Source organism: Homo sapiens, chromosome 13 (genome assembly GCF_000001405.40).
Source record: "Homo sapiens chromosome 13, GRCh38.p14 Primary Assembly".
Taxonomy (NCBI): domain Eukaryota; kingdom Metazoa; phylum Chordata; class Mammalia; order Primates; family Hominidae; genus Homo; species Homo sapiens.
In genome coordinates, this window is record NC_000013.11 from 40,460,905 (window position 1) to 40,476,755 (window position 15,851).

Below are 15,851 nucleotides of genomic sequence, written 5' to 3' on the forward strand. Positions count from 1 at the left end.
TGATTTTAGCTCCCATATTCGTTTTGTACTTCTGGCCTCCAGATTTAAACCACTAAATTTGTAGTAATTTGTTGTAGAAGCAGTAGCAAACTAATACAGTATATATCCATGAAACCATCAACACAATCAAGATACGAATATGTACTTCCTTCCCACCTTCACCCACTGTCCCCAGGTAACCACTGCTTTCAGTCACTACAGTTTAGTTTGCATTCTCTAGAATTTCATATAAATGGAGTCATATACTATGTACTCTTTCTTTTTGAGACAGAGTCTCATTCTGTCACCCAGGCTGGAGTGCAGTGGCGCTATCTCGGCTCATCACAACCTCCACCCCCTGAGATCAAGTGATTCTCGTGCCTCAGCCTCCCAAGTAGCTGGGACTATAGGTGCACACCACCAAGCCCAGCTAATTTTTGTATTTTTAGTAGAGATGGGGTTTCACCATATTGCTCAGGCTGGTCTCGAACTCCTGACCTCAGGTGATCCACCCACCTCAGCCTCCCAAAGTGCTGGGATTACAGGTGTGAGCCACTGTGCCCAGCCAGTACCTACTCTTTTTGATTGGCTTCTTTCACTCAGCATAATTATGTTAAAATCCATCCATGTTTTTGTATATATCAATAGCTTATTCCTTTGATTGTTGAGTAGTATTCTAATGTATATACAGTACAGTCATGCATCACTTCACAATGGATACATTCTAAGAAATGCATCATTAGATTATTTTCTCATGCGAACTTCATAGAGTGTACTTACACAAATCTAGATGGTAGAGTCCACTGTACATGTAGGCTATATGGTATGGCCTGTGGCTCCTAGGCTACAAACTGTACAGCATGTTACTGTACTGAATACTATAGGCAATTGTAGCACAATGGTATGTGTGTATCAAAATATATCAAACATAGAAAAGGTATGGTAAAAATATGGCATAAAAGACTTTCAATGGTGCACCTAGATAGGGTACTTACCATGAATGGAGCTTGCAGGACTGGAAGTTTTTCTAGGTGCATCAGTGAGTGAGTAGTGAGTGAATGTGAAGGCCTAGGACATTACTACACACTACTGGAGACTTATAAACACTGTACAATTAGGCTGAACTAAATTTTTTGTAATGTTTCTTTTTTTTTTTTTTCAAGAGATGGGGTCTTGCTCTGTCACCCAGGCTAGAGTGCAATGGCACAATCATAGGATCACAGCTCACTGCAGCCTCAAACTAGTTGGCTCAAGCAATCCTCCTACCTCAGCCTCCCCAATTGCTGGGACTACCAGAATGTACCACCAAACCCAGCTATCTTTTTAATTTTTTGTAGAGATGGGGTCTCACTATGTTTCCCAGGTTTGTCTCAAACTCCTGGGCTCAAGCGATTCTCCCACCTCAGCCTCCCAAAATGCTGGGATTACAGGCATGAGCCACCATACCTGGCCTGTTTCTTTCTTCAGAAATAAATTAACTGTAGCTTAGTTTACTGTAACGTTTTTACTTTATAGAATTTTTTTTGGCTGGGCCCAGTGGCTCACACATGTAATCCCAGCACTTTGGGAGGCTGAGGCGGGTGGATCACCTGAGGTCAGGAGTTCGAGACCAGCCTGACCAATATGGTGAAACCTCATTTCTACTAAAACTAAAAAAATTAGCCAGCCTTGGTGGCATGCACCTATAGTCCCAGCTACTCAGGAGGCTGAGACAGGTGAATTGCTTGGACCCCGGAGGCACAGGTGGAAGTGAGACGCGTTTGCACCAGTGCACTCCAGCCTGGGCGACACAGTGAGACTTCCTCTCAAAAAAAAAAAAAAAAAATTTGCACTTTTTGACTCTTTTGTAGTAAGACTTAGCTTAAAACACAAACATATTGTACAGCCGTACAAACATATTTTCTCTCTGAATATTCCTATTTGAAAAACTATTTTTTACTTTTTAAAACATTTTTGTTAAAAAATAAGACATGTACACATTAGCCTAGGCCTATACATGGTCAGGATCATTAATATCTGTCTTCACCTCCACATCTTGTCCCATTGGAAGGTCTTCAGGGGCAGTAAGATACATGGAGCTGTCATCTCCTGTGATAACAACGCCTTCTGGAATACGTCCTGAAGGCCCTACCTGGGGTTGTTTTACAGTTAACTTTTTTTAAAAAAATAAGTAGAAGGACTACATTCTAAAATAACCATCAAAGCATAGTAAATACATAAACCAGTAACACAGTTATTGATTATCATTATCAAACACTATGTAATATATAGTAATAATATATATAATTACTCTATATAACGGCATGTGATATACTGTTTTTTCTTTTTTTTCTTTTTCCATAAGTTATTGGGGAACAGGTGGTATTTGGTTACCTAAGTTCTTCAGTGGTGAGTTGTGAGATTTTGGCACACTCATCACCCAAGCAGTATACCCTGCACCATATTTGTAGTCTTTTCTCACCCCCCTCCCACCCTTCCCCACAAGTCCCCAAAGTCCACTGTATCATTCTTATGCCTTTGCATCCTCATAGCTTAGCTCTCATATATCAGCGAGAATATAAGATGTTTGGTTTTCCACTCCTGAGTTACTTCACTTAGAATAATAGTCTCCAATCTCATCCGGGTTGCTGCAAATGTGGTTAATTCAGCATGTGATATACTTTTACGTGACTGGCAGCATAGTAGGTTTGTTTACGCCAGCATTACCACAAACTTGGGAGTAACATGTTGCACTACGATGTCACAACAGCTAGGTGGCTAGACAATCAGAATCTTTCGGCTCCATTACAAGCTCATGGGACCACCATTGTACATGGGATCCATTGTTGACTGAAACATGGTTATGTGGTGCGTGACTACATATACTACAGTCGGTTCATCCATTCACTTGTTGATGACCATTTGGGTTCTTTTCTCCTTTTAGCTATTATAAATAAAGCTGCTATAAATATGCATTCTCAGGTCTTTGGATGGTGTTATGGGTTGAATTGTGCCCCCCAATAAAGGGTATGCTGAAAGTCCTAATCCCTAGTACCTCTTAATGTGACCTTATTTGGAAAGTTCTTTGCAGATATAATTAGTTTAGATGAGGTCATACCAGAGTAGAAGGGCTCCTAATGCAACATGATTATAAGACATGTCCTTATAAGAAGGCAACTATGTGAAGACAGGGGACACGCAGGGACCATATGACAGCAAAGGCAGAGGCTGGACTAATGCAGCTGCAACACAAAGAATGCCAAAGATTGCCAGCCACCACCAGAAGCTGCGAGAAGGCAAGGCAGGCGTCTCCCTTACAGGTTTCACAGGGAGCATGGCCCTGCTGACATCTTGATCACACACTTTTGGCTTCCAAAAAAGGGAGACAATGTATTTCTGTTGTTTTAAGCCACCCAGCTTGTGGCACTTTTTCATGGCGGCCCTGGGAATGTAACACAGACGGATGCACGCTTTCATTTTTCTTGGGTTAATACCTAGGAGTGGAAAAGCTGGATCATATGGTAAGCACATGCTTAACTGTTTAAGAAACTGCCCAAGTATTTGCCAAAGTTGTTGTACCATTCTCCATTCCCAGCAGCAGGGCATGAGCGTTCGCATTTGTCTACATCTTTGCCAACACCTGGCATGATGAGTCTTTATAATTGTCGCCCTCCTAACGGGAGTGTAGCGGCGCCTCGTTGCGGTTTTATTTGCATTAACTGCATGACTAATGATGTTGAGCATCTCTTTAGTGAAGTGTCTGTGAAAATCGTGTGTCCACTTTTCAATGCGGTTGTTTGTTTTCTTAATATTGAGTTTGAGAGTTCTTTATATATTCTGGATACAAGTCCTTTATTAAATATAAGCTGTGCAAATATTTTCTCCAAATCTGCAGGCTGTCTTTTCATCCTCTGAACAGTGTCTTTCAAAGAGCAGAAGCTATTAATTTGGATGATGTCCAGGACAAGAGCCTTCTGAGTGCTCTACCCAATGCCCTGTCTATGATGAGATTTTCCAGTTTGGCTTATGGAAGCAGGCACTATTCCCAGCCCTGTGTGAGTGCCGGGCACTCTTCCTTTCATCCTTTCGTGTGGTTCTTTCCCTGGCCTTGTGCAGATTCTTCACACACAAGTGCTGATTAGTACTCTACTAACTCTGCTGCAGACCACCAAATTTTTCTCTGTGGTCAGTGCTCTCCTCGCCAGCCCTCTGCCCTGTGCTAGCCCTGAGAACTTGTTCTCCCTGGACATCCAGCTCCATTTCCCCAGCTAAGGAAGTGTACTGGGCTCTACCTGAGTTTCCCGCTCCTCCACTGTGGTCAGCAAACTCAAGTCAGCAGGCCAGGGCAAGCCCAGGCTCACCTCACATGCTTCTCATCTCACAAGGATCACTGTTTTTCATTGCCTGGAGTCCAGTGTCTTGCTGATATCTCTTGCTCAGTGTGTGGGCAGTTTTAGGTAAGACAGTGAACCTGGTCTCTGTTTCTCCGTCTTGGGAGAAAGCAGAAATCTGCCCTGGTATATTCTTGAGACAGAGTCTCGCTCTGTCAACCAGGCTGGAGTGCAGTGGTGCGATCTCACCTCACTGCAAGCTCTGACCCCCAGATTCAAGTGATTTCTGGCTAATTTTTGCATTTTTAGTAGAGATGGGGTTTCACCATGTTGGCCAGGCTGGTCTCGAATTCCTGACCTCAAGTGATCCACCCTCCTTGGCCTCCCAAAGTGCTAGAATTACAGACGTGAGCCACCGCGCCCAGCCTGCCCTGGTTGGGATATGATGCTACCCATCCAAATCCATGCTTCGAGGAGAAAAGTGCAGAGAGAGACTGCTTTGTGGCCTGGATGGGAAGGCTAACAAGTGCACACCACCCCCTAAGCATTCCCAAATTGTTTCTGTCCCCAGGATCTAGACATAAGTGACACAGTGATCTATTTGCCTTTTTCTCTTGTTTTCCCAGTGATACAAATACCCCTGTCACCCCATAAGCAGGCAGAAGCAAGAGCCACCCGTGGACTGTCAGATATTTCACCACAGAGCAGCAAATATCAGGGGAACAGGACAAGGGAGCTCTGATCATCAAACTGTTTGATCTTTGGGAACTGCGCTAAGTGTTTCTATTGCAATTTGAGATGACTGCCAATGGCCTCATCTCCTTGGAGAGGAATTCATTCAAGATGGAACTTTGGGCTTTGGAGTCAAGGTAAATTCGGGGCTTATTACTCTCTTTCTCACTGGGGCCATTGCTCGGGATGCCCCACAGTTTCATGGAACTGAGGACTGAAAATGTCCTTGAATGAGATGTCTTCACCAGAGTGTGGATCAGGGCTGTCCAATCTTTTGGCTTCCCTGGGCCACATTGGAAGAAGAAGAATTGTCTTGGGCCACACATAAAATACACTAACACTAATGAGAGCTGATGAGCTAAATTTAAAAATTGCCAAAAATATCTCATAATGTTTTAAGAAAGTTCACAAATCTGTGTTGGGCCACATTCAAAGCCATCCTGGGCTGCATGCGGCCCGCAGGCTGTGGTTGGACAAGCTTGGTATAGATACTCCTCTCACAGACTACGTGTGATGCCCAGGTTCCCTGTCAGAGACTGGCAGGGAGCGTAAGCTAAAGGGCCTTATGTAAGTGTGGGCACCTGGCTCCGTCAGTCTTCCAGCAGAGGCAAGCTCCACCATGAGGCCCATTTCCCCACTGGCCTGACTGCATGCCTTAATCAGGAAGCAGGAGCTGGCTTCTCTGGTTATCACTCGTTCCTTCAGCAAACAATTATGGAGCATCTTCCATGTTCCAGGCAGTGGACTAGGATCTGGAGATGCAGAAATGAATAAGACACCATCATCATCTGGTTGGGAAGACCGATGCAGAAGCAGGCAGTTAGAAGATAGGCAGAAAATGCATTCCAGAGATAGGCTTAGGTGAGGGCAGCTGAGCCCTGAATCTCAATAACATAACATAACATAACATAACATAACATAACATAACATAACATAACATAACATAACATAACATAACGCAGTTAATATTTATTAAACCCGTCACAGTCAGGCCACCCACTGGTGAGAAGGTCCTGCCTTTCAATGAGCTCTACTTACCAGTTCTAGATTTACCTTCTGAAGACACCCAAAGGAAATCTGCTCACTTTGCCCGAAGCACTTTTTCCTTATTTGAATTTGGCCTCCTGAATCATTTTCATTACAAGGAAACTATCCACAGTCCCCACACCAGTGGAGAAAACTGCTCAGCCCTTTGAAGGCAGAATGGGACTGGAATCCAGTCATTTATTAGTACTGTGGCCTGGAGCAAGTGATTTCACCTCTCTATGTTCCTGTTTCCTCCGGTGTAAAATAAACATGCATCATTATAGTATCGTGAGGAATAAAAGAGATGGTGTATGCTCAACTTTTAATATTAAGTATAGTGTATAGTTAATTCTCAATAATTGGCATCACTGTTAGGGTGAAACATCTTAATCTGATGAGCTTTTAAGCTTCTAGGAGCATTTAAAACAAGTCTGCAGGATAAGGAGGTAGGTCCTCTGATCATTCCTTCACTTACTCTCTGCAGCATTCATCGAGCCAATTTGCACCTCACAACTTCCACAGCAATGGGTATGCAGAGATCATATTTCAAGGATCGTGACCCTCTTCCCTTCACATCTCTCCCATGGTGCGCAGAACAACGCTGTGAGCACAGGAATCCATCGGAAGTGACAGCAAAGAGGAGGAAACATTCTGAGAAGGCCCAGATTCCTGGCAGGCTTCTCCTACCCAGCTTCCTTTCTGGAATTTTCTGGAGACATGAGGAAGGTCACTTATTTTCTATGAACCTTGTTTTTCTCCTCTGTTCTGTTGCAACCTGGTCCAAGCTAGTTTCTTAGCATATTTGGAAAAGTCTGTGTGTGAAGAGTGACGACAAAGGCTCTCGTGATGGTTAATTTTATGTGTCAACTTCATTGGTCTAAGGGATACCCAGATAGCTGGTAAAATATTATTTCTAGGTGTGTCTGTGAGGATGTTTCCAGACAAGATTAGAATTTGAATCAGTAACTGAGTAAAGAAGATCTGCCCTCACCAGTGTGGGCAGGCATCATCCAATCTGCTGAGGGCCCAACATCAAAGCTCTTGATTCCCCAGCATTCAGACTCAGGGACTTCCATCAGCACCCCCGCTCCCATACCTCCATCATCCTACCACCCCCACTCTCAGGCCTTCAAGTGGCAAATGGTGGGTCCTCTCAGACTCCATGATCACATGAGCCAATTCCCATTTATCTATCCATCTATCTATCTATGTATCTAGTCATCTATTTATCCATCCATCCATCCATCCATCCATCCATTTATCCATTCATCCATTTATCCATTCATCCATCTATCCATCCATCCATTTATCCATCCATCTATCCATTTATCTCTGCATCTGTCTATCTATCTATAATCTATCTATCTATCTATCTATCTAATCTATCTGTCTATTCATCCATCCATCTCTTCATCCATCCATCCAACTATCTATCCATCCATCCATCCATTTATCCATCCATCCATCAATCCATCGAGCAGGGCAAGGATAAATCCATCTATTTATCTATCCATCCATCCATCCATCTCTGCATCTATCTATCTATCTATCTATCTATCTATCTATCTATCTATCCATCCATCCATCTATCCATCCATGCATCCGTCCCTCCATCCATCTCTCCATCCATCTGTCCATCCATCTGTCCATCCATCCATCCATCTATCATCCATCCATCCTATTTGTATCTATCTGTCTGTCTATCTATCTATCTATCTATCTATCTATCTATCTATCTATCCATCCATCCTATTTGTTCTGTTTCTCTGGGGAATCCTGACTAACATAGCTCTTTACCTGTCTCATGTCTTTCTCCAAGATTTCCAGGTAGCTGCCCTAACTGGACAAGAGAACACAGTTCTCCAGCTCTTCATTCTATAGCAATTAAAAAAATGTGTGCATGCTCAACCTCAATGTTTTGTGTAAAATATATACAGATACACATATATTATTTATAATTATTTATAGATTGTATATGCATGTGCTTATATATTATGAACACCATAAAATATGCAGTACAAGTTGGAAAATAATGAGATAAAAAAATAAGTTCAAATAGAAGTTGAAATATTTTCTTTCTCCCCACACTCCACCAGATCATCTGCACATCACACGAGTGACTTCTGCTGTATACCGTCTTAGAGGAGGCAGAGGATTACCGTGGAAAGGGAAGGGAGGACATCAACATGTACAACACCTATATGTGGCAGGCACTGTGCTTGACTCAGGAGAACTTGACAGGAGTTCCCCATCTTATTTGCCCACTCTATAAATGAGTCCCAAAACATTTCAAAACAAGTTGAGGTTTTCTCCATTTTTAGCAAAAAGCTGAGCTGTCCAGCCAAGGCTCAAGGTCCCTCTCTGAAGTGCTTCAGGACACCACTCCTCAGCAGGTTCCTAGCAAGATGCCAGCTGCTATTAGCATGATGTAACACCTATACAGACTTTGAGGTGAGTCCCCCAGAATGGCGAGGTCCGTGTCTTTGCTAAGTAGACACAGGGGCATGAGAACTTTGGGGGGTAGTTTCTTAGCTAACCAACATCAAGGGAAGAAAAGGACCCTGGAGCTTTTTCTTTTTTCTTTTTTTATTTAGAGACGAGGTCTCACTATGTTTCCCAGGCTGGTCTCGAACTCCTGAGCTCAAACGATTGGCCAGCTTCGGCCTCCCAAAGTGCTAGGATGACAGGCGTGGCCACCACGCCCGGCCCTCGAGCTCTTTCTTGCCCCTCCAAGGAAAGACTTGTTGATAAGCCTTCTCATTTCCCAGCTGGCACTGTTTCAATTCAGTGCAGCCCCTCCCTAGGAAAGGTGGGCACAAGGGAAGTGCTGACATCACTGGCCAGGTATAGATGCACCTTGTCACCCTCTACCACACCACCACTGCCAGCACACACACTCCCAGGCATGCACACATGTACTCATACACGCATGTATACGCTCATTTGTGCACACTCATACACATGCACACACTCATGAATAAGTGCACACACTCACACAATATACTCTCCCTGGGCACAATGTTCTCTTCCCCAGCTGCCCGCACCTTAAGGCAGAGAAGTGAGGAGGAGGAAGATTCCAGGGTTTCATATTTCTGATAGATGGAGCTCCAACTTGGGAGTTGGAAGAAAAGCCGGAGATGCTGGTGTTCTGGCTGGCCTCCCTCTGAGAACACCCACAGCTCTGAAAGCTTAGTCAATAGTCCATTGTTTGCTGTGAAATTAAGAAGATAAGAGAGTAGAAGAACTTAGTCCAAAATGCTAAGAGAGCAGGCAGTTACTATCTTCCATCTTCACCAGCTAGACTCCTGCCAAAGTGTTTGCCATTCAAGGGCACATTCGAGCCCCGATCTCCCCAGACCTCCGTCTGTGTCCCCACTCCTGCCTCTACCCCCACAGCCCTTCTCTTCTAGCATCTTTCTCCCATCTCTCCCCTTCTGGTGCTCTCCTTCCTTCCTCTTTCTCTCTCCCTTTTCTTCCTCACCCCATGTTGTGCTTCCAGCTCCCCATGCCCTAACGGAGGCCCGTGGGGGTCCCAGATGGGCTGGGCCCTGTTCCTTCAGACAGCTGAGCTCTCACAGTAGATGGACATGCTATAGACCAAAGCCCAAGGAAGGCAGGTGACTGTGAAGCCGAGCCCAGCTGAAAGAATGGAGATGGAGAACCCAGCATCAGTGCTGATCAACCACATGACCTTGGCCAGGTCAATCCACTTCACTGGGCCTCACATCTGTCAAGCAAAAAGCTCCATTTTTAGCTCTACTGAAGAAAGAAATTTTGAGCATGAGGCTAGATGTGTCAAGGGAGCCATCCAGCCTTCAGGAACTATTCCACATCTTTCTGAAATCCAGGAAGGAAGGTTGTTGTCAGAGGAGCTATTCTGAACCAGAGGCCAACTGTGACTTCATATGTGAGGATCGTGAACTAGCTTTCCAAATAGAACTGAATCCGTGGCCTGCTCACTGGCATAAACCCTCCTCGCCTTGGATGAAAGGAGAGTTGGTCACAAGACCATATTTAGCTCACAAAAAATTCACTCCAACTCAGAACTCAGCAGCACCAACAACCCAAAGCCAAGATGTAGCTGCCCCGAAGAGAAAACTTCCCCTTTACTAAAATCATACTTGGAAGTCTGTGTGATACACCAACTCTCCCAACTCAATTCCGATCAAGTCAAAATTCTTGGTCTTAGAATTGGGGGGCAAATGAAACGTGAGGATTAGGACCAAGCCACACGTGCCTAAGCATTCCCTCCAATTTCTCTCACAGGCCCTAAAGTGGTGGGAGAAGAGAGGGAGGGCCAGGTGGCCTGAAGCCATTCCAAACGGCTCAGGGGGGTCAGTGTGATCTTACTCCATTACTCCATCTCTCTGCTGCAAAACCAGATGGAGCTGGTCACGACAGGATGTGGAGACAAGATATTCCAAATGGAGGAAACCAAAAGAGTGAACACCCTGAGCCAGGAAAGCATGACACTCTAGAACAGCAAGGCCAGAGGAGCTCAAGCAGAGGGAGGGAATGAAGCCAGAGGGCATGAGATGAGGGCTGGGGGCTTGACACTCCAGGTGAGGGGTTTGGGTGGATGTGTCTGTGTCTGTCTGTGTTTTAGGTGAAACGAGGTGGGAGGTGAAGAAGCTGTGGATTAGGGTGGCAACGGTGGGAGTCCCACCTGGGGCTCTACTTGAGCAAGACCACCAGGGTAGAACCAGTGCGACCTGCTAAACAAATGGATATGGGGGAGAGAGGAAGAGGAACAAAGAAGCCATGTGGGACTGGGGCCTGGGCAGAGGGGATGCCATTGACCAAAAACAGGGAGACAGAGGACCCTGCCAGGGTCAAGATCCATACAAAAGGTATTTTGCACTCGTGGAGGTTGAGATGCGTGTTATCCATCCAGGTGGCAAGGGACACACAGCACCCACCCCACTATTTTGCCACCAGCGAATGAACATTCATTGAGCATCTGCTGAGTGCCAGCACTTTGCTGCACACCACACAAGCACGTATGCCTTCTATCCCTGAATTGCTCAGGAAGGTTAACACAGTGACTGGTTCCATTACACCTTTTAAATATCAGAGACTCAAAGGAATTAAGTAATACAGGGTCCCCAACCCCCCAGGCTGTGGCCAGGTACCAGTATGTGGCCTGTTAGGAATGGGCCGCACAGCAGGAAGTGTGAGAGCGTGACCACCTGAGCTCCGCCTTCTGTCAGATCAGCAGCGGCATTTGATTCTCATAGGCGCGCAAAATCCTATTGTGAACTGTGCGTGGGAGGGATCTAGGTTTCACGCTCCTTATGAGAATCTAATGCCTGACGATCTGAGGTAAAACAGTTTCATCCCAAAACCATCCCCCCACTGCCACCCCAACCCCAGTCTATGGAAAAATTGTCTTCTATAAAACCAGTCCCTGGTGCCAGAAAGACTGGGGACCGCTGAAGTAATGTAATATATCCAATGTGATCTAGCTAGAAAGTGACAGGCAGCATTTCAACCCAGGGCCTTTGGCTCCAGAGTGCTTAACCAACACTCCATGCTGCCAACCCAATGACACCTTTTATTTCCCCAAAATCTGCAACATCAGCCTCTTTAAGTTGCAGTGTTGGGGGAGCACGTGAGCATCACGTGCCCACTGACAGCCAGGATGGACTTAGCTGAGCTGCACTCTCACTTGGGGTACAGTTGGTTGGTGCTTCTGAATCACCAGGCGGGAGGTGGTGGGGCCCAGTGGTTGACCACAGTCCCAGGGGGAGGGAGAGAAGCAGTGACTCCACCAAAGCAGTGGCTCCACCACCATCATCCTGGAGACACACGGGCTGAGTGGCCCCCACGCTTCCAGGACACCTGTGGGTGAAATGGCTGAGCCCAAAGATTGCCACAGCTTTTCCTAGCCTGAAGCTCCAGGTTTAACAACTGGTACTGCTCTGCAAAAGCAGAAGAGCTTGACCAATGATGAGCCTGAAGAGGCAGAGAGAGAGAATCGTAGCCATCTAGATTAATTTGAAAAGTACCTAGATGCCTGAATCCCCCACCAGAGGGTCACCTTCCCCGCTACCTCCTCTCATTAAAGATTAACTTCAGTGATGATTTAAACAATCAATGTGAGGACTGTGCCTTCAAAATTTCCCAATCACAGTACCTGGGAGGCTATACTACCTGATAAGAAACCTCATGCCGGATTAAAATTGCAGCTACTATGTGTGGAGCACTTACTGTACATAGAGACTATCCTAAGTGATTTCCATATATTAGGACAGCAACCCTGTGAGCTAAATTCTATCATCATCCCTGCTTTTCAAATGAGGAAACTGAGACACAGAAAGGGTAAGTAACTCACCCAAGGCCACCTGGGTAGCAAATGGCAGAACCCGAATCTGAGCCCAGGCAATCTGACCATGCTCATCACCGCTGTGCCTGCCTGCCTGCATCTTGCTTACTCCTGTGATCAGCAGTCAGGGCCTTCCTCAAGACCTGTTTTGAGCTGTATCCCAGCTCAGAAAAGAATGTCTTGATCCATCCAGAAGAATGTCCTTAAGGTCAATGTTTGTGATCACACTGAAGCTCAATCAGGACACAGGGCAGTCAGATGTGCTGGCTTACTGTGCGAGCCCAGGACACCTAAAAGGCTCTGTCAAATCTAGTACAGGTACAGAACCTTCGAGAGAGGACCCAGACAGTATACAGGTGTACAAAGATGAGCAAACAATTGGGGTTTGATTAACATATTTCAGTGTGGACTGTAACACCAGCAGCAGGGCTCAGGGAAGCTATAACACAGAAACTTACTTCAGGAACCTTCCCCACTTCCTATGCTCCTTCTCTCTTCTGTGGTAATCTCTCTTACTACTGTTAAAGAAAAATGATTCAATGGTACTTGTTAAAGCATGGTAAGGCAGGCCCGGGCACAGTGGCCCACACCTGTAATCCCAGCACTTTGGGAGGCCAAGGCGGGCAGAACGCCTGAAGTCAGGAGTTCGAGACCAGCCTGGCCAACATGGCGAAACCCTGTCTCTAATAAAAATCAGACGGGAGTAGTGGTGGGTACCTGTAATCCCAGCTACTTGGGAGGCTGAGGCAGGAGAATTGCTTGAACCTGGGAGGCAGGCAGAGGTTGCAGTTAGCCGAGATCATGCCACTGTGCTCCAGCCTGGGCCACAGAGAAAAAAAAAAAAAAGAGCATGATAAGGCAGACATTATCAGAACCATCATGATAGGTATGAGGACCACTGCAGTGGGGCCTGGTGGTGGGGGAGAACTTAGGCTCAACTCCAAATACAGCATGGACAAATGGGAATTTACAGCCAAGGAGCAGAGTGGGGGTCGATGAATGGAAAATTACTAAGAGGAAACATCAGGGATAAGGGGGACTGTGGCTAAACCGACCTAACAGGATTCTTCCTGAATATAGCCCAGGGTGACCAGACATCACCTAGGGATGGAGGAAGATGATGAGCCTGATTAGATACAAGGGTGAACAGATATGGAGGATGGGAGCTCTTGATAAACTCACTGATTAGGGCTCTTTGTTAAAACGGATTTTACAAGGAAGTGCACAGATGGCCTAGGAAAACGTTGAGGAGTTGGACTACAGCTTGGCCAAGCAGAGAATCTTTGTCCCTATTCACATACAGTGTATTCATCTCTCACCCTACCCCTCATCAGAACGAGGATCCCTCCCGGGCATCTTCACCCAAATGAAGGCATCTCTAACTATGGAACTTTAAGTACTGACCAGCCTTTACTAGTGCTACCATTTGTTGGGCATTTGCTTTGTGTGCTAAGTGCTTTACAAATGTTATTTTATTCCATGGCCCTCACTTCATTTGACCACCAACAACCCTTAGCACAGCTGAAGACTCCATCCTCCTTAAACTCTTTCATCACTTGGCTTCCCAAATACCACCTTCCTTGTTCTTCCTCCCACCCAACTGGCTGTTTACTCTTGTGCTAGCTCCTCTTCATCTCCCTGACCCCCAAATGTTGGCAGGACCCAGGCTCAGGTCTCTTCTCTATCCACAGGCACCCCATATGCAATGCTGTCCAGTCTAAAAAGGTTGTAATTGCTTTGTCCAAATTTATATCTCCTTCCTGACTTCACTCCCTGAATCCCAATCTTTTAGTTCCAACTTCCAACTTAACGTCTCCATTTCTCTATCTAACAGGCATTTCATGTGGTCAAAATGGAACTTTTGCTACCACCCTTCCATCCATGTCTTCCCCAGCTCAGTCTACAGCAGTTCCATTCTTGCAGTAGCTCAGACCAAAAAACTTGCATCATCCTTGATTCCTTCCTTTCTTTCTCATCCTATATCCAACCCAGAAATCTGGTCAACTCTGTCTTTAAAACCAATCCAGCCGAGCACAGTGGCTCGTGCCCGTAATCCCAGCAGTTTGGGAGGCCGAGGTGGTCAGATCACCTGAGGTCAGGAGTTCGAGACCAGCCTGGCCAACATGGTGAAACCCTGTCTGTACTAAAAATACAAAAATTAGCTGGGCGTGGTGGCGGGCGCCTGTAATCCCAGCTACTAGGGAGGCTGAGGCAGGAAAATCACTTGAACCTGGGAGGCAGAGGTTACACTGAGCCAAGATTGTGTCACTGCACTCCAGCCTGGTCAACAGAGCGAGACTCCGTCTCCAGAAAAAAAAAAAAAAAAAAAAAAAAACCTGATCCACAGTCAACCATTTTGTCACCTCCTCTGCAACATTCTGGTCCAGACTCCGTCATCTGTCCTAACTCATCTTGTGGCTGCCATGTCTGCAGAGTCAGTCTATTCTCAACTCAGAAGCCAGCGTCATCCTTTTTAAATATAATGCAGATCACATCCCTGCTCTGCTCAAACTCCTCCAGTGGTTTCTGAGCTACCTCCAGGAAGAATCCAAAGTCCTTAACCATGGCCTGGAATACTCTGTGTAGCTCTCAGATAGCTCTGCCCTCGAATCCTGCTGCCCTCCCAGCTCACTGCACTGCAGCCTCTTCTCTGCTGCCACAAAGCCTTCATACTTGGTGTTCCTTCTGCAAGGAAGAGTCCTTTCTCAAGTCTCCAGACAGCTCATTCAGTTCATTCAGGCAGACTCTCCTTGACCACCCTATCTACAGTAGCAACTGGGATGTGCACACACACACTCACACACCCTCACCATACTCACACACACAACTCACACATCCCACCATCAATCTATTCTGTCACCCCACTTGGCCTTTTTTAATATCATTTATCTCGTGTGGTATATTATGAATGTATTTGTTGATTGTTGTTGTTTTTATTTATTTTCTGCCTTAGTCCATTAGAATATAAGCTCCTTGAAAGCAGAGATTTTGAATATCCAGAATCCAGAATAGAGACCACCACATAGTAAGATTTCAATGAGTAATTATTGAATTATGAATGAATGAATGAATGAATGAATGAAGCATAGTACAGATGAGTTGACTGAGGGCCACAGAGTTTAAGTAATTCTCCCAAGATCATACAGCTGGTAAGTGGAAGAGCTGGTATTCTAACCCAGGTCTGTTTGATTCTGCCTCTCAGAAACCATAACCCATAGGTGAACCCTGATAAATCAAGTGCTGATCCATTGAATGCAAATGCTTGGAGACATCAAACAGCACACTCGAGGCCCTGAGTAGCCACCATAACTTCCTGAGAGGCTTCTCTACCAGAGACACTCCACCTAACGGACTGGGAAGCACAAATGTCCCTAATCCTGCCCTTCTCTAACTCTTCCACACCAAAACACGTGTCTGCACATGGAACTTCTCTGAAATGCCTGGAATTAAACAAAGCAGGCACAGCCCCTGCCCTTTGG

At 45.7% G+C, this 15,851-nt stretch overlaps 1 long non-coding RNA gene across 3 annotated transcripts in view; it reads right to left on the reverse strand.

The window, feature by feature from the left end:
- The window catches only part of LINC00598 (long intergenic non-protein coding RNA 598), a 133,873-nt gene that overhangs the window by 113,773 nt on the left and 4,249 nt on the right, over window positions 1-15,851 (reverse strand). For all 3 annotated transcript variants that reach the window (NR_024506.2, NR_024507.3, NR_024505.2), the window contains exons 2-4: window positions 13,090-13,191; window positions 9,092-9,258; window positions 5,603-5,773 (exon numbers count right to left, since the gene is read on the reverse strand). This is a non-coding gene — a long non-coding RNA (long intergenic non-protein coding RNA 598, transcript variant TTL-B1). The remainder of the gene's footprint in view (window positions 1-5,602; window positions 5,774-9,091; window positions 9,259-13,089; window positions 13,192-15,851) is intronic.